The 25652-nt window shown below is 35.5% G+C and overlaps 1 protein-coding gene across 9 annotated transcripts in view, besides 1 other annotated feature; it reads right to left on the bottom strand.

Annotated features, from left to right (window-relative positions):
* The window catches only part of NKAIN2 (sodium/potassium transporting ATPase interacting 2), a 1021776-nt gene that overhangs the window by 783533 nt on the left and 212591 nt on the right, over positions 1-25652 (bottom strand). The window lies entirely within an intron of this gene.
* Positions 12089-12590: an enhancer, noted in NCBI's record as "NANOG hESC enhancer chr6:124350663-124351164 (GRCh37/hg19 assembly coordinates)". NCBI's record gives its function as "activates a minimal SCP1, AML or CMV promoter by ChIP-STARR-seq in primed H9 embryonic stem cells {active_cell/tissue: H9 hESC(primed)}" and the evidence as "EXISTENCE:reporter gene assay evidence [ECO:0000049][PMID:30033119]".

Raw genomic sequence — 25652 nt, 5'->3', positions numbered from 1 at the left:
CCGAGGTAATCAAAATCATTCTCTTCAATGTCATTGTGGGATTCTCAGACATTCAGATGGTGAAAACAAAGAAATAATTTCATTTATTCCATTATATTTAGAGTTTAGAAGTAGCAAGAAACACTATATCAGTTTGTCCCCCTAAGGAAAGGCATGGACACCTTGTTTCTTCTTGCAAATGATTTAAGCAACTAAGATTTCAGAACCAATTTTCAGAAAACAAATTTCATCAGGAAAATCTTATCAATGAGTAGCTATTGATTAGGTTAAAATTGAACTTAGTTTCATCAAATAATTTTTAACAGCATTACAATTCAGTGATTTTGTATTCATTCCAATTTACAATATTATGAAAGTGAACAAATTCATAAACTGTTTTTTTCCCTTTTTATTTGCTCTATCCACATATCTAAAAGCCAACATTTCTACTTTATTAATAGCAACAAAAATGTTATTTTATGTTATTCAGTGTAACTACAGCAAAACAGTAGTAAAATAAACAAACTCAAGCCACAAATACAGGGATTTTCGACCTCTGATTGTAATAAAATCTGACTTTATTTTAGCTAGCATGAGACTAATATATTTAAAATAATGTTTGTAATGCAAAGCAGGAAATCAGTGCTAAAAAACTGAATAATAACAAATAAAAATATCAATAGCATTAAATTAACTAAATGTAAGTATTTGCATTTAGTTTGAACAAACTCAATTTGGCCTTACGTTTTCAGAATTTCTGCCTCTCCAACACAGTTTTAAAAGGCAGAAGTCTCCTTTACTGCTTCTGTTACTACAGTTATAAGGCAGCAATGTCCTCACAATTGTATGAGATGATGTGCGGATAATGATCATTAAAAGCATGCTCCATTCAGTTGATAATGTTTACAGGAGTGATGCTTCCCCTTATGAACCAAAGGCTAAAGAAAGCTCAATAGATATTGCAATAACCATAAAGTAGAGGATGCTCTCATAACAATTATGGCTCAATCATAAGTATTTTCACATGACTTCCTAAAATGTGGTCTTATTAAAGCACAATTACAAATTACTCTCCCAATTTCTGAACTATACAAATAAATAAAAATGTACAAAAATAGCAAACTGGGAATGAGTCCTTCAATAGTTGTACAACATAGAGTGTAAGACCCTGAAAACCGGAATGAGGCTCTGTTCACCTCTGCCACTCATTGAACTCTATGAACTAGGACAGAGGTTTAACTATTATCATTATGACTAATACTTCCTGTGGTAATGACTTACTACTTTTCATGTCACTGAAATAAGTACCACTTTCATTCCCTTTTTATATATGGGAAGACTGAGATCAAAGATGTTAAGTAACTTGTTCGTGGTAACACAGCTTTAAGAATTTGAATGCAAGAAGAGCCACATGCATATATAGGAAGTCCCAGAGTTCTTACCTGAAAACACCTATATCATAGTTATCTGGTGTTCATTCCATAATATCATCAAGCAAAGGCTTAGCACATAACTTGATGGTTGATAAATACTTAGTAAATGGTTGCTAATAATAATAAATAATAACAAACCAGGAACTAATAAAAACAACAAAAATTAAAATGTCTTCAAAATAGTCATATCTGAGGTAATTATGACAAAGAGGAAATAGAATACTACAATCTAAAAACCTATAAGCTATGACTAAAGCAGTATTCAGAAGAAAATTTATAGCTTCAGACATACTTAATACACAAATAAGAATGAAAATAACTATATAATGTATTCAACTTGGGAATTTTAAAAAGAACTGCAAAATGAAACCTCAGGAAAACAGAAGAAAGACACAAGATAAAACCTGGGAATAAAGAATTAAGAAAACTATAACAAAATCTTACATAAATATTTATAAAATTCCTAAATAAAATATTAGCAAATACAATTGCACAACGTATGAAAATAATAAAATATGTCTAAGTGAAGCTCATTTTGAAAATTTAAGGCTCACTCCCCTTCAGGAAATCTGTAAATAAATGACATGTTTTAATAGGTCAACTCTAGCTAGGTCTGGATAAGAAAAAGAAACAAACCACTTGTAATAAATAACAGCCATTGATTACTGAATCCAGATTATCAGCACACACTTGTTCTGTGTTAAGTGTTGAGGGTGGTGAGGGTGGGAATGGAGGTGCATGTAGGTGTATGTTAAAACAAAAGCTAGAAGCATGCTTTGTGAATAAGAAGCATTCTTGTTAAAGTAAAGATGTCCACTATTAATTATTACAGTTATTTTGGAACCAATAGTCACCGCAACCAGTCAATAGAGAGAAATCTAAGTAAAGATAATTAAAAGAAAAAGATGAAATTATCTTTTTGTAGGAAGTTTAGGTAAAAATAAAGCCTAAGATAAACAATAAAAATATATTTTTAGACTAACATAATACCAGCAAAGGGCAAATTTTATAATTAATATATAAAAATCATTCATTTCCCTAAACAAGACATGAATTGCCTATTGTTAAAATTAAATGCCCAATTTTTGAAAGGCAGTCAATAGATATTCACTGAATAAATAAGTAAACGATTGAATATAAGCAAAAACAATACATGTCAATTAATGATAGCAACTCAAAACAAAATAATGTAGAATTAAGAAATTTCTGTAGTCTACATGAAGATGTAAAATAATAACTGAATTACAAAATTCAAAGTTATAAATATATACAACATAAATACATAGACATATATATAAATATATATAACGCATTTGCAGTAATCAAACAGAAATTGTTTATTTTGTAATTCTAAAAACACTTGAAATAAGCCATGATATTTGAAAAGAGGATTGCTGAGGGCTACATGCCCTATCATATATTAACTCATATAATAAAACTGTGATCCTGGCCTTCAATATGTATTGACCTATATATAATGTTATTTCTCAGAGTTGGTATTTCTTCTTCTTATTTTTAAAAATTTTATTGGTAACATTAATATTTAGCAACCTTGTGTGTATTTGTAAAATAAGCATGTGCCAATTAGGTAAATACTATAAAACTTTTTTTAAAACAGATGTTAAAAAGATCCTATGTAAGAATGTCCTTTTTATATGAGAAAAACATCATACATATGAGAATTAAAAGGCTCCTGATAATTAACCATGACCATGAAAACTTGTCTGAAAGAGAACTTTGATTTAAAATTGTCAGAGTTATCAGAGATTCCTGAGGGAGAGAAGACACTGCTGGTTAAACACCCTCGTTCTGGTACAGCAATTTATAAAATATTGAACTGTTCTGTGAAATTGCTTTTGATAACAGTGGAAACAGTACTAACAAAGGTGCCAAGTTCTGATGTAAACACATATTAAAATGAAACTTCTTGGGTATATTTCATTAAAGTTATATATTACAAAAATTGGTTTTGAATCTATTCTTGTTTGAGCCAGTTATGATATAGAAACTATAAGCTAAATTCGGAGTAGGTGATTGTGTAATTATATGTGCCAAAACTTAGATACAGTCTTTCCTAGGTCTCATATTTTTTTCTAATAATATGCAGTTTAAATGTCCAGTTCCAGGTGGATGCTGGAGCCCACAATAATCAACAATCAAGTGAAAATAAAACTTTTCACATAGGCCGGACATAGTGGCTCACGCCTGTAATCCCAGCACTTTGGGAGGCTGAGGCAGGTGGATGACAAGGTCAGGAGTTCAAGACCAGCCTGACCAACATGGTGAAACCCTGTCTCTACTAAAAATACAGAAATTATCCGGGCCTGGTGGTGGGTGTCTGTAATCCCAGATACGCAGGAGGCTGAGGCAGGAGAATCACTTGAACCCTGGAGGCAGAGGTTGCAGTGAGCATCCAGCCTGGGTGACAGAGTGAGACTCAAAAAAAAAAAAACTTTTCACATCAGTTGAATTGCAGACCATATCACTAAATCACGCACCATATTTTAGCCTCCTCTAAATTAGTGTGAATTTTGTGGTCATGTTAGTTGATTTGAATATTATACTGAGAAGGGATCTCTCATTTTTACTATCCTCGATTCCAGCAAGCCTGTGTCCCTTCAGGGGATACACTAGCCCAAGGCTCAGCCCTCACCAGACAACTTACGGAATTCATATGACCCTTACTTTAACAAAGCAGCTCTACTTTAATGTTTATCCATTCAATCTTGCTGTCGCTAACTTCTAAATTTTGCCCAATCATGGGCCTTTCCTTCAGCGTCAAACTTGTTGAACATAGGCTTTCACCTGGTACTTCCATTTCTTATACTACCTTTCCGCTTTCAACCCTTTGAAGTTGACTGTTGCTCCCATCATTCTATGGAATTTACCTGTTCTATCATAATCTCAGAAAATTATAGAATTTCAAGGATCCATAGCTATTGTAGCCTTCAGATAAATATTAGCGACTGGCCTTTGGAATTCCGTAACTGTAGTCTTCGGACAAATGTTATTATAACATGGCACCCAAGGGTCAACAAAGCCTCCAAGAAAGATTATGTCATTTCCAAATCTGTCTCAAGAGGCTCTTTGATGTATTGGGAAGACAATACTGACTTAATCCAATTTGATTCCATGACCGAATTTAATTTGTTAGAATTTTTTTAAAATGAGACAACTTATTAAAAATCTACAAATAGCACATGTTTTTCAGGAACCAATAACTGAAGACTCTGACAGAAAAAAATGACATATGGGAAATATGAAAATAAGTTTCACTGGTGCTAATTTATGACATTCAAGAAGAGAAAGATTATTGATATAAAATTATCACTGGTATCTAATTAGTGTCCAAGTCTTTCCATGTCAGATGTCATTAAAAGAACCAAAGATACAGCTTCCTTCTTTAGGTAGTAACACAGTATGGCAAAAAACATTTCCAAATCTTCTAAATTTTATGAATCTACTTATTTCATGTTGTATTTCTTCCTGCCATTAATTTCTGTGTGACTCTCTGATCGGTTTTCCTTCTTGGAAGTGATCACTTCCTCTTTTACCACATTGTGAGCACTCGCCTCTCTGCCTGACAATGGGAGAAAGAATTAACCAGCACAGGTAAGCAGACCTGCAGTAGGTGAGGGAGTGCATTCTAGTTTGAAAGGACTAGACACAGGCTTGTCAGTTCTAACCTGACTAGTGTTCTCTCGGGAATACTGAGTTGCAAGATAAGAACGAAGCTTTGATAAACCAAATACACTTTGATAGAATATCAACTGAATTTAGTACCAAAGAGCAACATTTTTAAGGTTCTAAATTTTAGCTGGAGGCTGAGGGAATACCAGAAGGAAAATAAATGAAAGCTGCTTGCCACTTCAAAAGCTAATCTTTGTAATGCTTTCATTAGCAGTTTTTAAAAAAACACATACACACTTCTGAAGTAGAAAAGAAATGATTTTGAGGACTGATTCCTATAGGGTATAGTTTGACTTCCCAGTCTCTCAAAAATGGGCAAGGTCAGGAATTTCTTTTATGGCTGTTGGGACTGTAAAATATTTTGTTTGTAAAGGAACTTAAAATAGACACACGAGAGAGATTAGCTGATGAACTCTTTGTTTAGTTCCCTCAATAAAAGATAAGTATCCGTTATATTTAGAGTGAAAGAGGAGATGAAAGATTCTTGGTTCTAAAGATACTATCCCCTTAGGCTGGATGGAAAGGAACTTTTTCACTTTTAAATAAACACAGTATAAAAATATTTTGACTAGACCATAAGGAAATTACAATGGAAATGGCAACCAGAAGAACCCAGTCTCCCTGAAATTTCAGCAAGGTGGTTAGGGGATGAAAACAAGTTAAAAATACTGTTAGCTGAATCTAACAAAGGAAAATATTTGTGTTTCAAACCAAAATACATAACTCAAATGCCACACAAGTTTGTAAACAGTAAATTAGGTAAAAGGCAAGTTCATGTCCTCGACAACCATACTCTAAGATTTTTTACCTGAAAATCTGGCGTGGAGAAAAGTCCTGCCTGCCAGACACAATGTGGGTTTTGCGGCTATGAAATCAATGGTAATATGGATATAACATGTGGGTTGAGGCATAACAGAGAATTCCTAATTATACAGTACCCACATGGTGTGAATCTTAAGGAAGAAACAATATCCATTACTTATTCTTTTAATACCAAATGATTCTAAACTGAGTTTATGTTATCACAATGGCATGCTTTTCAAAACAGTTGTCATTTTCCCTTGAATATTATTATCAAATACTCCTGCCTGGTGAGGTTCTTGGGACACTTGACCTGCCCTTTCTGCCATCACCGGGGAACTCCACACATTTATTCCCAACTCATAAGCAGTACTAAGGTACAGTGACAGTGTCTTTAATTTCTTGCACACAAACAATGTAAAAGAAAAATGTTTTAATATTACTTTGAAACACGGCAGGGTTTGAACGGTGGCAAGAGGGATGTGAGACATTTTGAGCAGAAGTAGAGTGAATTAATCACATAGTTGGGAATGATGATAAAAACAATGGCTAGAAGTTACTAAGCACTTTTGTGTGCCCATCACTTTTATTTAGACCAAGTCATAGATAAAATAAAGGGACATAATAGAACTTGCACAGAAACTCATAGCAAGCAAGTGGAGTGGCTGGGAAATAAGTTTATCTGAAGAAAGCAAGCAGTTGGAAACTACAGGAGATTAGCTGGGAATGATTTCGGGGGAAACTAATGCAGGGTCCTGAATTCCAGGATCAGATGAGGATAATACTTTTATTTTAGAAGTTTAATTAAAGAGACATTGAAGGCTTGCTTAAGCAGGCTGAGGAAAAAGGTATTCTTCTGGATAAATTTGTCATATCCATAAAATGTGCTCTAATTTACAGTTAAGGTTTATTAGCTTATGGGCAATGATGTTAGAGCACAATTTAAGCATTCAACTATTTATGGCCAGATTATTGGTTTTATGTTGGAAAACTCAAATACTAATTTATGAACAAGCATTTTATAGCCTTCTCCCATTTTAGGATTCCTTAGCATCTCTTGAAGGGGATGCTCAATTTCTGTATTTTCTTGCATTTCTGTATACTAAAATAATTATACATATTTGCAATCGAAGCATATTAGACATTTTTTCTTGTACTTGTAGTTACTATATGAGGTCCAGTCATGCTATCCGAAAGTCAGTTTGTCTCAGAGAAAGTAAGTTGGAAATGGACTCTCCCAAGCCTCCTTCTAAACAAGTGGTTAGAAAAAAGGGTAACAAACTATCAAAAGACAGACAAGTGGCCAAAAATCATGAAAAAATGCTCAACATCACTAATCTTCAGAGAAATATAAATTAAAACCACAATGAGATAAAGTCTCACAGCAGTCAGAATGTCTATTATTAAAAAGTCAAAACATAACAGGTGTTGGTGAGGATGTGAAAAAAATGGGGCACTTTTACACTGTTGGAGGGAATGTAAATTAGTTCAACTCCTTTGGAAACCACTATGGATACTTCTCAAAGAACTAAAAACAGAACTACCATTAGACCTAGCAATCTCACTACTGGGTATCTACTCAAAGGAAAAGAAGTAATTCTATCAAAAAGACATCTGCATTTGTGAGTGTATTGCAGGGCTATTCACAACAGCAAAGACATGGAATCAACCTATGTGCCCATTAATGGTAGACTGAATTTTAAAAATGTGATTCATATACACCATAGAATATTACAAAGCCATAAAAATAATGAAATCATGTCTTTTGTAGCAACATGGATGGACCCAGAGGTCATTATCCTAAGTGAATTATCACTGAAGCAGAAAATCAAATACCACATGTTCTCACTTATAAGTGGAAGCTAAACAATGGGTGCACATGGAAACAATAGACATGGAGGACTCCATAAGAGGGAGGGAGGGAGAAGGGCAAGAGTTGAAAAACTGTTAATACCTATTGGGTACTATGTTTACCCAGTGATGAATTCAATAGAAGTCGAAGCCCCAGCATTACATGGTGCACCCTTGTAACAAACCTGCGCATGTACCCCCTAAATCTAAAATGAAAATAAAGAAAAATAAAAAAGAAACACAGGTTATACAAATGTGAATGTGGCTAACACAAACCCTCAAAACAGCTGAAAAGTTCATCACTATATGATACAGGCTCAGTAATATTATTATAAAAATGAATGAATAAAACATGCTGTTATCAAAGCACAAATTTCAAACTTTAATTGTGAACATGTACTCTCCTTTTGGACTGTAAGGATATTCTACACCTACAGAAAATATTTTTATTACTACTAAGCCAACAGAGAGGTATATGTAATTAAACTAGAAAATATGTTCCTCTCCTTTAATGTTACTATTAGAAATTCTAGATCAGCAATTAGAAAATCAAAAGTAGCAATATTAAGCCCATTTTATAAGAAGACCATGCATTCAGTGCATTATTCCTGTTTCCCTGACAACCTGCCAGCATTCATGACCCAACCAAATTCCCAACAGTGTTGCAGAATGGGCTTTTAATAATGCAAAGACCTTTCTTTCGTTTAGTGGGAGGATGCTCGCTTAGTGAGAATGAAATCGTCCATCAACAATCTGGTCATCAATTTTCATTTCAGTATCCCAAATGTGATTTAACTTTTGTCAAAAAAATTCTCACATTATTTTGTTCTGAATGCTACTTAGAAAGTACATTTATAACTGTGAGATATAATTGATGTCCAAGGGCTCTAAATAAACAGCCACTTAAAACACAATAGTTAGCTTTCTTCCCCCTACTTGTATACCATTAATTATTTTAAATAATATCTTTTAAGTGTTATAATTAGTAAGAAGAGGGCAAAATGATCTTTTACTGAGATATTTTCTAACCGACATTTAAAAACTGCTTTTTACATAATCATCCAAGTTATTTTAAGGCATTAATGCAACACAATTAACTCTACATAACAGAACACTAATCTTCACCCTTTAACAAGTCCCTGAGAACCAGACAATATGTTACTCCTGTACATTTGTAAGTAGCGAATTCATTGTGTGATTTTTTTAAACTTTTTATATTGTGAATCATTTGCCTCTCTTTTCTCTACATTTTGGCTAAAAGAAAGAGAAATCTATTTGCTTTCCTCTGGCTCAGCATTTTATATTAAAAAGTGTCTATCCTACCAGTAATAGCCAAAGTGGTTCAGTTTACTAAAACATGTAGTCTGGTTGTTGTTAATCAATGGCACTTTATTGATTTTTTTTTAAAGAACAAAATCCCGCATAAAATATTACATATAAAAACAGAACATTAGGCAAACAAACATTACCAGAGAGGAAATATTGTTAATACTATTCCTATATGGCCTTCATTGGTTTGCAACCATGGCAATACAATGAAGGAACAGATCAATACATATATATTTCAGAAAATAAAAATCTTGCTTTTGAGTTTTCTATTTTTAATTTTTTTAATTGGAAAAAAATAAAATAATGTTTTAAATGTGATTCCATTATTTCATTAAAACGGAAATCCTGATCATTTTCATATTGCTTTGTAGTCCCCACTTGTGAATTTAAGAGTACCTTTCTTCTTAGACCTCTTAATGAATAGTCCAATATGAATGTGTTATCTATTTGTCTACTTACCTTTATCAAATAATGGTAAAAATGACAACAAAAACAAACTGTAAGGTTCATAGAAAGATAGTACTTTCATTACATTAAGTTCTAAAACTCCACAGGCAACATAACTATTTTTTTAAAGATGTTTAAAAAGATGGGTTCAGCACTCTGTTTTTTTTAATATACTTTAAGTTCTAGGGTACATGTGAACAACATGCAGGTTTGTTACATATGTATACATGTGCCATGTTGGTGTGCTGCACCCATTAACTCGTCATTTACATTAGGTCTATCTCCTAATGCTATCCCTCCCCCCTCCCCCCACCCCACGACAGACCCCAGTGTGTGATGTTCCCCATCCTGTATCCAAGTGTTCTCATTGTTCAATTCCCACCTATGAGTGAGAACATGTGGTTTGGTTTTCTGTCCTTGTGATACTTTGCTCAGAATGATGGTTTCCAGCTTCATCTGTGTCCCTACAAAGGACATGAACTCATCCCTTTCATGGCTGCATAGTATTCCATGGTGTATATGTGCCACATTTTTTTAATCCAGTCTATCATTGATGGACATTTGAGTTGGTTCCAAGTCTTTGCTATTGTGAATAGTGCTGCAGTAAACATATGTGTGCATGTGTCTTTATAGCAGCATGATTTATAAGCCTTTGGGTATATACCCGGTAATGGGATTGCTGGGTCAAATGGTATTTCTAGTTCTAGATCCTTGAGGAATAGCACTTATTCCAAAATTGACCACATAGTTGGAAATAAAGCACTCCTCAGCAAATGTAAAAGAACAGAAATTATCAAAAGCTGTCTCTCAGACCACAGTGCAATCAAACTAGAACTCAGGATTAACAAACTCACTCAAAATCGCTCAACTACATGGAAACTGAACAACCTGCTCCTGAATGACTACTGGGTACATAACAAAATGAAGGCAGGAATAAAGATGTTCTTTGAAACCAGTGAGAACAAAGACACAACATACCAGAATCTCTGGGACACATTTAAAGCAGTGTGTAGAGGGAAATTTATAGCACTAAATGTCCACAAGAGAAAGCAGGAAAGATCTAAAATTGACACCCTAACATCACAATTAAAAGAACTAGAGAAGCAAGAGCAAACACATTCAAAAGCTAACAGAAGGCAAGAAATGACTAAGATCAGAGCAGAACTGAAGGAGATAGAGACACAGAAAAACCCTTCAAAAACTCAATGAATCCTGGAGCTGGTTTTTTGAAAAGATCAACAAAATGGATAGACCGCTAGCAAGACTAATAAAGAAGAAAAGAAAGAAGAATCAAATAGACGTAATAAAAAATGATAAAGGGGAAATCACCAGCACTCTATTTAAAGGCAGATTAGTGAAGATCAGAGTGGAATGGTTACTGCTGGCCACGTCTTGTTACACTGAAGTATAAACACATCAAAATAATAAAATTTGTCATTTAGCATACTAAATATTTAGCATTATATTCATACCCCATCAGTCTTTGTTATTTTTTTAAAAACCCAGTAACATCACCCCTATATACATATCAACTTCAACTTTTCATTTATTTTTGCTTTCTTCCTGAAAATGACTTTTAAAAAGCTGCTGCTTCTCATGCCAGGCCTCTGAAATCTCTGTATCCACACACACAAGAGAACCTAGTGGGTTCCTCTTAAGAGGTGAGACTCTCCAGCACAAGAATAAATGAGTGGTTAACAATCAAAAAAGAGAACAGTAGATCCTCTCCATCTTGGGTACTAGCAGTGTTGAATTCCAGTTTAGTTCAGTTTAACGAAGATTTATTGGGCACTTAATTCATTCCAGACACTAACTTAGGCTTAGAGGATACAGAAATACATAAGAGTATGTTCATGCTTTCCAGGAGTGTCCTATGTAATTGTGAAGTCATCTGTAAAGCTAGTGTTGATAGCTATCATGGAGTTACTTCTTAACTGGCATCCCATCTTAAGTGATAACAGAGTCTAAGTAAGCACATTTGGCATATAGAGAAAAGACTGTAAATACTTTAAATCATCCATGGAAATCCAATATATAACATCTTGTACACCATCATTGTCCTGATGATTTTGCATTCTACATAGTAAGAACCACTGAGTAAGAATAAAGGAAGAATCAAAAGCAAAGTTTTGTGGAAATGACGGGATAGCCAACTTTTCTGTTCACAGTTACAAGACTATTAAGTGAATATGGAGGCAATGGAACATCTTAAAGCAGTGGTCCCCAACCTTTTTGGCACCAGGGATGGGTTTCGTGGAAAACAATATTTCCATGGATCAGTGGGGGTGTGAGGATGGTTTTGGGATGATTCAAGTGCATTACATGTATTGTGAATTTTATTTCTACTGTTATTACATTGTAATATATAATGAAAAAATTATAACTCACCATAATGTAGAATCAGTGGGAGCCCTGACCATGTTTTCCTGCACTAGACAGTCCCATATGGGGGTGATGGGAGACAGTGACAGGTCATTAGGCATTAGATTGTTTTTTTGTTTTTATGTTTTTGTTTTGTTTGTTTGTTTGTTTGTTTTTGTAGAGATGGGGTTTCACCATGTTGGCCAGGCTGGTCTTAAATGCCTGCCTCAGCATCCCAAAGTGCTGGGATTACAGGTGTGAACCACTGCACCTGGCCTGGCATTAGATTCTTATAAGGAGCACGCAACCTAGATCTCTCACATGCACAGTTCACAGTAGAGTTCTCAGTCCTATGAGAATCTAATGCTGCCACTGATCTAACAGGAAGCAGAGCTAAGACATTAATGAAAGCAATGGGGAGCGGCTGTAAATACAGATAAAGCTTCGCTCGGTCTCCTACCACTCACCTCCTGCTGCTGTTGCCTGGTTCCTAACAGGCAATGGACTGGTCCTAGTCTGTGACCTGGGGGTTGGGGATCCCTGTCTTAAAGAATCCCTGCTGGTCTGCATGTTAATTCTATTTTAATACTAAACCTCACTTCTCTAAACTAAACCAAGGTTGATTTTGTTTTCGTTAGGCTTAAAAGTAATAAACTTAAAGGCTGGCACACAGTAGGTACCAATAAATGTTTGCTGGATTTTATCTAAATCTTTCTTTATCAAATTTACAACTTTGAAAAGTATAGAGAAGAACTGGGGTATGTGCTTCCTTATCTTTTCAAATGCTGTCAATTACTGCGGCCCTACTTTTTTTTTTTTTAAATAAAATGAACGGTAAATATTTATTTTATTTTTTTCCTACGAGTCCAGAAATCCAGAAGGATTGTAAGTGTATGAATATGATTATTGACTTTTAAAAGAACATATGACAAGCAAGTAAAAGAAAATTCAAGAATTTCACTAAGAAATAAACAGGATGCAAAGCACTTTCCGTCACAATAGACAGACATCCCAGACATGTTTAATTGTTAAACAATAGTAGAAATAATAAGCAATTAATAAAAGTTAAAACATATAAAGTAACCAAAACCAAACACAATTTTAGCACTTACGTTCAAATTATCTAAAAAAGAACAGCCCACAATTATCAGTATCAAACTATAAAAAAAATTCTAGTACTTATATATCATTTCTAAAAGCAATCTCAGAGAAACAGGAATAAATTGCTTATTTCTGGTTGCTTTGAACAAGTCTGAAGAGCATCATCTTGAAAACTATATATATATATATACACATATATATACATATATGTGTATATATATATATATACACATATATATACATATATGTGTATATATAGACACACACATATATACATATATATGTATATATATACACATATACGTATATATACGTATATACACGTATATGCGTATATATGTATATACACTTATATACTTGTATATATACACATATATACGTGTATACACGTATATACACGTATATATACACGTGTATACATGTATATAAACAAACTTTTAGAATGACCTAAAAGAATGATGCAAGTCCAAAGACCAAACAATGTGTATTTATTTTGCTAAAATATTACATTTCGTTATATTGCCACTAAGAGATTTGTGATCCCATAGTCCATTTCCTTTTTTTTAAAATTTATTTTATTATTATTATACTTTAAGTTTTAGGGTACATGGGCAGGTTTGTTACATATGCATACATGTGCCATGCTGGTGTGCTGCACCCATTAACTCGTCATTTAGCATTAGGTATATCTCCTAATGCTATCCCTCCCCCCTCCCCCCACCTCAAGTGGCCCTACTTAATAGCCATCATGCTTCTGTTCTTGAACATTGAACACAATGGATCAAGTTGCATTTCACTCCTCATTCAGAGTTAGATTCTAAAATTAGCAACTTAAGTTAAATGTGAATATGATGCAACCCACTGCATGAAAAATAACATTGTTACTGGCATTCAGAGAATAGGATTTAAAGCTAGATGAAACCTCTGTGAAGGTTTTATAGAGCGGATGAAGTATATACAGAACATTCTAAATTATGTATAAAAGACCAACAAAGAAAAAATGAAATGGCATCCTAAGTAACACTAAGGGTGAAGATATAAAGTCAGGAACACCACGGTTTATGCAAAGAGCAACATATCTTCCAGTATCATTATAGTGTTAGACCCAAAGATAGAGTTAAGAAGGTTTGGATCATGGAAGGCTATTTATTTTATGCTAAGGAGACTTGCCTTTATTGCATAGTTATTAGGGAGGCCTCCACACATTTTGATTAAGTGAATGGCATGGTTGGATGTTTATTTAAAATATATTTAGTTCTCTTTAACTGAAGTGCAAAGAATGGATATAAGACCAGTAGAATGAGAAAGTAGGAGATTAGTTAAAAGATTATAAGCCTTGAGTCAGGGTAGTGGTGACAAGAAATAGAGAAGAAGAAAAAAATAAAGAACTATTTAATTTGGAACTTGACAGTTGATTCAGTTGAGGTGAAAGAGATGTATCAAAAGCGATGGATAATGCCTGTGTCCAGCAAACTAGGCATGACTGGCTGACGATGATATCACTGTAGGAAGGAGACTACAGGATGTGTAAATGATACATACGCGTTTCCTGTGGATTACTGAGAAGACATGGTCACTAGATATTTTGATATACAAGACTAAATAAACATCAGAGAAAGGGCTAAGGCAGGGGATATAGACTTGAGAGTCTTCAAAATATGAGTGATAATTGGCTGGGCGCGGTGGCTCACGCCTGTAATCCCACCCAGCACTTTGGGAGGCTGAGGCGGGCAGATCACCTGAGGTCAGGAGTTAGAGATGAACGTGGCCAACATGGTGAAACCCTGTCTCTACTAAAAATACCAAAAATTAGCCAGGCGTAGTGGCAGGCACCTGTAATCCTAGCTACTTGGGAGGCTTAGGCAGGAGAATCGCTTGAACCCGGGAGGCGGAGGTTGCAGTGAGCTGAGATCGTGCTATTGCACTTCAGCCTGGGCAACAAAAGCAAAAATCTGTCTTAAAAAAAAAAAAAAAAAGAGTGATAATTAAACCCCTGAGAGTAATAGTGATTGACAAAGGACATCCCAGGGAAAACAATTGCTAAGCCGTAGGCACTTCATGAGTTGTCAGAAGACAGGCAAGAAGAGAAACAGAAGAGGAAGTAGGAGGGAGCCCCAGGGAAGAAAAAATTTGAGGCAGAAACACAGTGGCTACAAGCTCCATACAACCTGAGCTTCTCAGCACAGCTTCAGTGGAGCAGGAGACACACACTAGACCACAATGTGTTGAATAGTGAAAGTGAAGTGTGGAAGTGGGCCAGCTAGTGTAGACACTCAAAGAGCTTAGCTAAGGAAAGGAGAGAACAAGGAGTGATAGCTAACATGCAACATGGGGTCAGGTTTCGGTTTTGTTTTAAGATGAGAATGGGACCATAGAGAAAAATGATATCCAGCAAGTTTTATTTTGTGCTAACACTGATTGATCAGTGGTGGCTGTCTGAACACAAGGTCAAGAACAACTGTGATGCCTGCATAGTTCAGTAGGAAAAAGAAAGCAATGATTGATGATGAGTGTCTCTTAAAAGCAGGAGAGGGGAGTAGTGTCATGGATATCCCAGATTTGTCATCCCTTTATAGGCTTGCTTCACATGGCTACGATTATTCACAGATGAGATGCATATTGAGGATACTAGCTAGTAAATATTATAGCTTACTGATGATAAAAGGAAAGGAGCATTGAAGAACAAGGTAATATTCATAAAGAGTTACTAGGAACAATCAACTGAGCTACTATGGAAATAGACAGCCCTGCAATTCACTAATTTGGTTAAGAGAATATTGGCAAAATATGAATATGAATACTGTAGAAGAGAAAAATATATGTTCCTTACTCATTGCCAGGGTCCTGGCTGAAAGTCCTGTAACAAAAGACAGATCAATAAGAGAAAAGCATGGCAAATTCATTTTTAAAAAGTTTTACATAACACAGGAACCTTCAAAAATAAAGACCCAAAAACCCCCAAACTGTACATTTATGCTAAGTCTGATGAAATAACTGGATAGTTGTAGAGAAACATGATTGGACAATAAGGGGTGGGATCTAATGGTAATAAACAGTAAGAAACTTCAGCAAGGCCTGTTTGTTCAAATTATTTCCTGTGTCTCAGTATAATATTCCTTCCATCCCAGGTACAGGGCAGGATCTCTCAGGAATGAAGGTGTTATACTCACTTTTAGGCAAGGTAGGTCAGAGAATTCCTTTATGAACTTGTTTCAGGGGAGAAAGGCAGGAGAAGGTCAGAGTAACTTGCTCTGTACTTTTCTCTGTTGTCAAGGGGCCATATTCTGGGGCATGATGTTCTGAATCCCCACAATGCTAAGGTGTTGTTTTCTTAATGTTTTTTATTTACAGTGTACAATGTGACTTTTTCGCACATCAAGCTAATTAACATATCCATCACCTCACACACTTACGTCTATTGTGGTAAGAACACTTAAATCTGCTCTTAGCAAATTTCAAGTATACAATACACTATTATTAACTACAGTCATCATGATGCACAATAGATACCCAGAACTTATTCAACCTAACGGGAACTTTGTACCCTTTGACCAATTAACAACATATTGGAAGGAAGGGCCATGAAAGGAAGAATAGACTTCCACTCCTTTAGGACATTCACTCTTTCTGATTTTGTTTGTTCATTTTTTTTTTTTCCTTTCCATTCATTGCTTCTCATCTAGGCTTTGCTGCCAGGAAATTGGGAGGTGTTCTTCGTGCTGTTGTGATATCACCATTCCTCTAGAGCTGGGGGTATATTGGGAGAAGAACAGAACCACATGTATCATGCATCCGATCTCCTACTGCATGTCTCAGACCAGCAATACACACTATTTGTGAGTTGAGTACTAGAAGAAACAATGGCTACCTCAAAGCCTTAACTTTAGCAACAAAGAATAGAGATAGACAGGTATGTATTAGTGACTTAGGTACAATAACCTTATCAAATAATTGGCCTTGGATTAGCCAATCTAAGCAAAAGGAATTTCCCTGTACTCTAGATCTTCTATACACATAGTTCCCAGGCATCTTATACTTAGCATGGACTAGTTATACAATGCATGCATAGTAGTAATGAATTATCTGAAACATACTTGAGTAATTTAAGTAGGAAAAGCACTTTTTTTTTTTTGAGACGGAATCTCACTCTGTTGCCAGGCTGGAGCAGTGGCGCCATCCTGGCTCACTGCAACCTCTGCCTCCCAAGTTCAAGCGATTCTCCTGCCTAAGCCTCCCAAGCAGCTGAGATTACAGGCATGTGCCACCATGCTCGGCTAATTTTTGTATTTTTAGTAGAGACAGGGTTTCACCATGTTGGCCAGGATGGTCTTGATCTCGTGACCTTCTGATCCACCCACTTCCGCCTCCCAAAGTGCTGGGATTACAGGCATGAGCCACCACGCCTGGCCAGGAAAAGCACTCTTGAAGTGGCTGAGTTGTAAATTTCTCATTTTTATGACTACTGTCTAATAATCACGGCTATTATAACATAACTGATAATCTTAAGATCTGCTTTATCTAAAACTGATAATTTAAGTATAAAAAATGAGCCTAAGTGTCCATTAAACAAAGACATATTATTTCCTGTATATCCTTATGTGAACTTATTAAATATTCATTTTGTTATTTTTCCCCTTTCTTTATTTTTTAAAAATGTATTCTCCAACGTGAAAGGGCTTGTTTTGACTGTGCAACTTAGCAGTGGGAGAGGCCGACGTTCAGCAGGTGTGTTGTTCTAAAATTCACGTTATGCATTCTAATTCATTACAAATCCTTTTCTAAAGGCCATTCAGTGATGTTAAAATATGAGTAATCTGGGTATATGAAATATTATGTCCACTAAACATTCTGAGGGCTAACCTGATAGGTATATGTGTTCATCATTTCCTGGATCAGGGGAATATAATCTGTCTGAAACAAATGTTATATTAAAGGTAAAAATAATCATCAAACTTGAAACATTATTTCTTTTTTCTTGTACATACCAGAAGTGATCTGGTATGTACAAGTGCAGAATATAGTTTCTTAACTAACAAACCATCTTTCCCATTTTTTTAACCAATTGCACCCCCTATTTCTATTTTTTATTATTTGAAAGATATTTTAACTATTTAACAATTCTTAAGGATGCTTTGTTCTATCACATCCCTAAACATAAATCTTAGACGATTTTTCTATATCAATCCTATCTTTTCCTTATCCCATATAGTACACTACTAGCAGAAGCTGCTTCTAAGCTCTAGATGCCATATTTGTTAATTTTCTTAGTAATGTCTATCCCCAAATTCCTCAACTATTTGCCTTCACATCCTGTAGCTTTTCAATTACAAAAATGTAATATGAATATACAAATATCTTTCTTGAAAAACACAGTGCTTGGCAAAATAAATAAAATTCAGATGTATTTTAGCACAGGTAACGAGAAAATCAATGTAAAGTTAATCTGTCCTGCAATAAGGAAAAGTCCTCTAAAATCTCATAAATTTAAAATATATTATTACTGATAACACTGACATTTCTTAAATAATAAAACAAAGATGTTTATAAACATCAATGAGTTAACATTGTAGAGGCATAGATGTTGACATAAAAATGAACAAAGGTAGGCTTTCAAAAAAATTTTAAGGCACAGAGCAGGAGGATTTAGTATTTGAAAGATGGAAAAGGATTACAGAATTAAACGACAAGAGGGGGAAAGCTTTGAAAAATTTCAGAGAATAGGCTGTATGAAAACAAAGTGGGAGAAGTGTGAAATGAAGGAGTATTAGAAAAAGTGAGCCAGATAAGAGAGGAAGGAAATCAAGGAATCAGAATAGCATTTTGCATATGTGTAGACACATGAATATACCCACATACATTATATAATACATACTCTTGTGTGTGTATGTGTGTGCGTGTGTGTGTGTGTTTAATCTCAGATGTTTTTTCTGTATCAATCCTTTCCTTTCCTTATCCCATCTGGTATGCTAGTAGAGGTTGCTTGTAAGCTTTACTGATAAAAAGAAATATATACTTTTTATATACATACACACACATATATATATATACTTATACATACATACATACATACATATATATATATAAAGTATACATATGTCTATAATCTTTAACCGAAAAGTTTAGAACTGTGAGAGACTTGGGCTATGCTGGTGCCCCCACATACTGCTAGGCTGCAGAGTCCAGTACAGCTGCAACAAGTGTAATAATAAAAATGACTGTGTTTGTTTTTCTTGCAAACTCGCCTGCCCCACAAGCCTCCCCATTGCTCCCAGGAATTCATGCAAAGCAGTCACACTCTGAAGCCTGTGGGAGGGCAAGGGAAAGAAAGGATGGGCAAATTAGCTATAATTGGATCTTATTAACTTAGCTATTTAAATTGCTAATCTGTTTCCAAGTAGGCTGATTTGTAAATAACTCATCTTGAGCTGACTGAATTTGGCTTTTCTAACCATTGATGTAATTGAAAGAAAACTGAGCAAGTTATTGTTTATTTATCTTTTATTACATTTTAAAACTAAATGGTTAAAATTGTCTGGACACATTAGAATTGGAACTCAATTTTATATCCACCTAGGCAAAGAGAAATAGGAACACTTTTACACTGTTGGTGGGACTATAAACTAGTTCAACCATTGTGGAAGACAGTGTGGCAATTCCTCAAGGATCTAGAACTAGAAATACCATTTGACCCAGCAATCCCATTACTGGGTATATACCCAAAAGATTATAAATCATGCTGCTATACAGACACATGCACAGGTATGTTTATTGTGGCATTATTCACAATAGTGAAGACTTGGAACCAACCCAAATGTCCATCAATGATAGACTGGATTAAGAAAATGTGGCACATATACACCATGGAATACTATGCAGCCATAAAAAAGGATGAGTTCATGTCCTTTGTAGGGACATGGATGAAGCTGGAAATCATCATTCTGAGCAAACTATCTCAAGGACAGAAAACCAAACACCGCATGTTCTCACTCATAGGTGGGAATTGAACAATGAGAACACTTGGACACAGGATGGGGAACAGCACTAACTGGGGCCTGTCATGGGGTAGGGGGAGGGGGGAGGGATAGCATTAGGAGATATACCTAATGTAAATGATGAGTTAATGGGTGCAGCACACCAACATAGCACATGTATACATATGTAAAAAACTTGCACGTTGTGCACTTGTACCCTAGACCTTAAAGTATAATAATAATAAAAAAAGAGTATGATTACCAAATGCCTAGGTTTTACATGGGTTCAATTAACTTTCAGAGAAATCTCATGCAAACCTAGTTAATATAATTAAAGGCAGTACAATCAGGGGAGAGGATAGAATTTTTTAATAAATTGCCCCAAAGGCCCATATCTATATAGATATGTCTATATATATCTATGTCTATATGTATAGATATATATAGATGGGAAAGAGAGATTTATAAGCCTATAAGGCAAAAATTTTAAATTGCCTTTTCCTTTTAAAATAAATCTTTATATGATCCAAGAGATATAAAAATGTAAGGTAAAAGAATATAAAAGTTGCCTTCTTTTTGAGTCACTTTTAGAAAAGAAAATGTCCAATGATTGGAGAAGATAGTATTCAGAGTAATATAATACTAAAATATGAAGAGATGTAATACAGTAAATATATTACACAAATTGAAAGGACTTAATATAGGTAATAATTATTACTAGACTTTAAGTCTTGATAGGAGAAATTAAATAATCTTAATTTATTAATTAACATACTAGTTAATATAAGAGAAATGTCTTTCTGTTGGTTTGTAACCACCTTTCAAAAGATTAAACAGTGTTCTTATGTAAAAAAATATATAATACTGTTTGACACACACATATACATGCTATATATTGTTACGTGTGTGTACGTGTGTGTGCACCCACTAATCAAACTTTTTAAATGTGTACTTGTTTAGTCATAACATAATGCTTCCCTGTGTTGAAAAATCCTATGGGCTATAATTTCACTGTTATGAGTCAGATGATTCAATTTAAAAAGTACAAGTAGAAAGGCAAAGAATTGTGCTTTTACTCAATTTTACTTACAGTAAAGTGTTCAGTAAATATTTGTGAGAGTAAATGAATGAGGAGTGATGGTTATATATTCCATAGTCTTGTTTCTCTTTCTCTTTAAAAAATGTCCTACCAAACATAAATAATAAAATAGCAGCTCTGAAAAACTATTTCTGTTTCTTCATTTATAGCAAACAAATTGAGATATCTTGATCATCTGTTTATGTCTTCTTTAAGTTTACTGAAAGGGGCCTTTTTATTAATCTTTTCTTCAATTTTGTATTGTGTTCTAATGATGCAAATGATTTAATTTATAAACAGTTCACAAAAACCTAAATTCGGTGCCTCAGTTTCTTCATATCAAGTATCAGCTTCCTTAAGAAAGGTACAATGAGTATTCAGAACTGTAAAACAAAAATAGATTATCAGAGATGAGTTTTTAAATTTTATATGTTTTTAAAATATTTCAGCATCAAACACAATATGCTTTAGTGATGTAGTCTACTTTAAATCTTTGTTTTTTATTGGTTTTCTTTTTTGTTGGTTGCAGTAACAACCTCTTTCCTGAAATGTGTAGAAGTTGGGCAGAAAACTCAGATTTTATGCGACTTCTACTGTAATCAAAACATATGCTGAAGGTACAAACACAGAAGTTAGAACAGAACACCAAGCAGTGTTGTCCCTGATCTTCATTTTAGGATAAACTGCATAAGAAGAAATGAGGCAAAGGGAATGGATCCAATAAACGTCTCAATGTTCTGTTCTAATATAAATATGAAAGGGATACTGATCAATGATGTGAATGATGTGATATCCATTAATTTTGGCAGGAAGAATATTACTCCTTTACTAAGAACAGAATGACCCATTTTCACATTGGCTTTTGGAAATACAAAGAACAAGCATAGATGGCACAGGTACAGATGTACACTTCACAGAGTCTCAGAGAAAAAAGGTGCCTCTGCTTCCAGCTGCCTTCTCTGTTCAAATATCATAAGGAAGGAAAGAGAGATCCCTCAAAGTGATAATATTTCCAGCTAAAGTGAACAATGGTATTAAACAAAATGAATAAACAGGCAATACAATGCCTATCTTCTACAACATTGAGACTATTCAAGTTTATTAACAAGAATAGTCACTAAAATGTTACATTTTAATATCTTTCATTGAATACTGTTTTTATCAGAATAAGTTTCAAGATATAATATGTCTTATATAATAAATAAGTGTTTAGTTATAATGGAGAATAGTGGTTATCCCCAGTGAGGGCAGGATGGGGATCATGTCAAGAATTTGTTACAGTTTCAGACAATACTAATGCATTAATTTATCTGTATGCTGATGAAAAAAACAAATAAGTTTCCATAATTGAGATGCACAGTTCCCTCTAAATATACACACTTATATTGAAAGGGATATAAAATATTTATCCTTTCTAGAAGATGATCCATAATATTTATTATGTTTTTACTGAAATATATTTTTTCTTGCAAAAAAATGGCAGAAAAAGATGACCAAGAGCTTACTACTCTGGCAAGTAGACTCATAAAGATTTAGAAAAAACTTGTTTACAAGCATGACTTAATTTACATTAAATGCCAGATCAAAGACCCTTAAAGCAAGTAAATTTTGTATTTATATGATTCACATGCCAAAACAAATCTCACTTCAACAGTTTTTTTTTCACTCCTATGTTGAGGAATGCAGAAAATTACTCTCTGGAAAAAATAATCAAGGTAATCTCACTTTAATATTATAAGAGCTACATATAAATGCAGGAATATTAACATAAAAGTCCTTATTGTTTACTTTTTATGGCTAGAAAGGGTACCAAGGTGATATAGTTTGGTTTCGTCCCCACCCAAATCTCATCTTGAATTTTAGCTCCCATAATTCCCATGTGTTGTGGGAGGGACCCAGTGGGAGGTAATTGAATCATGTGGGTGGGTCTTTCCCATGCTGTTCTCATGATAGTGAATAAGTGTCATGAGATCTGATGGTTTTATAAAGGGGAGTTCTCCTTCACACTCCCTCTTGCCTGCCACCATGGAAGACATGCCTTTGCTTCTCCTTTACCTTCTGCCATGACTGTGAGGCCTCCCCAGCCATGTGGAACTGTGAATCCATTAAACCTCTTTCCTTTATAAATTACCCAGTCTCAAGTATGTCTTTGTTAGAAGCATGAGAACAGACTAATACAGTAAATTGGTACTGGTAGAAAGGGGTACTGCTGTAAAAACACCCAAAAATATGAAGCAACTTTGGAACTGGGTAACAGGCAGAGGTTGGAACAGTTTGGAGGGCTCAGAAGAAGACAAAATAATATGGGAAAGTTTGGAACTTTCTAGAGAGTTGTTGAATAATTTTGATGAAAATGCTGATAGTCATATGGACAATGAACTCCAGGTTGAGGTGCCTCAGATGGAGATGAGGAACTTGTTGGGAACTGGTGCAAAGGTGACTCTTGTTATGCTTCAGCAAAGAGACTGGGGGAATTTCTTCTCCCCACCCTAGAGATCTGTTGAACTTTGAACTTAAGATAGATGATTTAGAGTATCTGGAGAAAGAAATTTTGAAGAAGCAAAGCATTCAATAGGAAGCAGAGCATACAAGTTTGAAAAGTTTACAGCCTGAGGATGCAATAGGAGAAATTTTCTGAAGAGAAATTCAAGGTAGCTGCAGAAAGTTGCATAAGTAACTAGAAGTCAAATGTTAATCACCAAGAAAATGGGGAAAATGTCTCCAGAGCATGTCAGGGACTTCTGTGGCAGCCTCTCCTATCACAGGCCCAGAGTGTAGAAGGAAATAATGGTTTCTTGGGCTGGTCTCAGTAACCCCCTACTTTGTGCAGCCTAGGGACTTTGAGTCCTGTGTCCCAGCTGCTCCAACCATGGCTAAATGGGGCCAAGGTACAGCTCAGGCAGTGGCTTCAGAGGCTGGAAGCCCCAAGCTTTGACAGCTTCCATGTGATGTTGAGCCTGTGAGTGCACAGAAATCAAGAATTGAGGTTTGGGAACCTCCACCTAGATTTCAGAGGAGGTATGGAAATGCCTAAATGTCCAGGCAGAGGTGTGCTGCAGGGGTGAAGCCCCTATGAACAACCTCTGCTAGGGCAGTGCAGAAGGGAAATGTGGGGTGTGAGCCCACACACAGAGTACCCACTGGGGCACTGACTAGTGGAGCTGTGAGAAGAGGGCCACTGTCCTCCAGACCCCAGGATGGTAGATCCACCAAATGCTCACACTGTGCACCTGGAAAAGCCACAGAAACTAAATGCCAGGCTGGGAAAACAGCCGGGGGGTCGGGGTGGGGGGTGCTGTACTATGTAAAGCCACAGAGGTAGAGCTGCAGAAGGCCAGGGAGCCCACCTCTTGCATCAGCATGACCTGGATGTGAGACATGGAATCAAAGGACATCATTTTGGAGCTTTAAGATTTGACTGCCCCACTGGATTTCAGACTTGCAGGGGCCTATACCCCCTTCATTTTGGCCAATTTCTCCCATTTGGAATGGCTGTTTACCCAATGCCTATACCCCCATTGTATCTAGGAAGTAACTAACTTGCTTTTGTTTCACAGGCTCATAGGCAGAAGGGACTTGCCTTTTCTCAGAAGAGACTTTGTACTATGTACTTTAGAGTTAATGTGAAATGAGTTAAAACTTTGAGGGACTGTTGGGAAGGCATGACTGGTTTTGAAATGTGAGCACATAAGATTTGGGTGGGGCCACAAGAGGAATAATACAGTTCGTCTGTGTCCCCACCGAAATCTTATCTCCAATTGTAACTCCCATAGCTCCCACATGTCGTGGGAGGGACCCTATGGGAAGTAATTAAATCACGGGGGCGGGTCTTTCCCATACTGTTCTCATGACAGTGAATAAGTCTCACTAGATCTAATGATTTTATAAAGGGGAGTTCCCCTGCACAAGCCCTCTTGCCTACTGCCATGTTAAGACAGGCTTTTGCTTCTCCTTTGTCTTCCGCCATGATTGTGAGGCCTCCCCAGCCATGTGGAATCATGAGTCTATTAAATCTCTTTCCTTTATAAACTGCCTAGTCTCAGATATGTTTTTACTAGCCATGTGAGAACAGACTAATACACAGGGTACATACAGAATAGGTAGGTTTTGATAGGCTTGAACTTAAAGGCACTTGACATCCTGGGGTTGTCATCTTAGTCTACCACAAGTGTTGGGCATTTGCAGCAATGCAGACCTGGATTCAAATGCTAGCTCCAATACATACCTTAGGCGGGCAAACTAATTCAACTCTAAGCTCTGGATTTTTTTTTAATTTGTAAAATAGAAAAAAAAAATTGAAAACAACCTCACACAGCTGTTATAAGGACTTTCAGAGAAAATATTTATGAAGGATTTAAAACTATGCTTGGAACAAAATAAATGGTCAAAAAGTTGTCCCTAGAGATGAGTGGTGGTTGCTGCTATTACTGTTGGGGTGGCTAATTTATGTGCAAAAGAGGCCTGTGGTCCAGAGTAGTAGGCTCAGAGAAAGTGAAATTCCTTGAGGGGAGAAAACTGAGCAATATATTTTATTTCAAAGCTGACTTAAAAATAAAATTTTAGCTTCTTCAAACTAACATTGTGGACTTTGGCATGAATTCATACAGCAGT

The sequence above is a fragment of the Homo sapiens genome, chromosome 6 (assembly GCF_000001405.40).
Source record: "Homo sapiens chromosome 6, GRCh38.p14 Primary Assembly".
Taxonomy (NCBI): Eukaryota; Metazoa; Chordata; class Mammalia; order Primates; family Hominidae; genus Homo; species Homo sapiens.
This window is presented reverse-complemented; position numbering and strand designations above follow the sequence as displayed.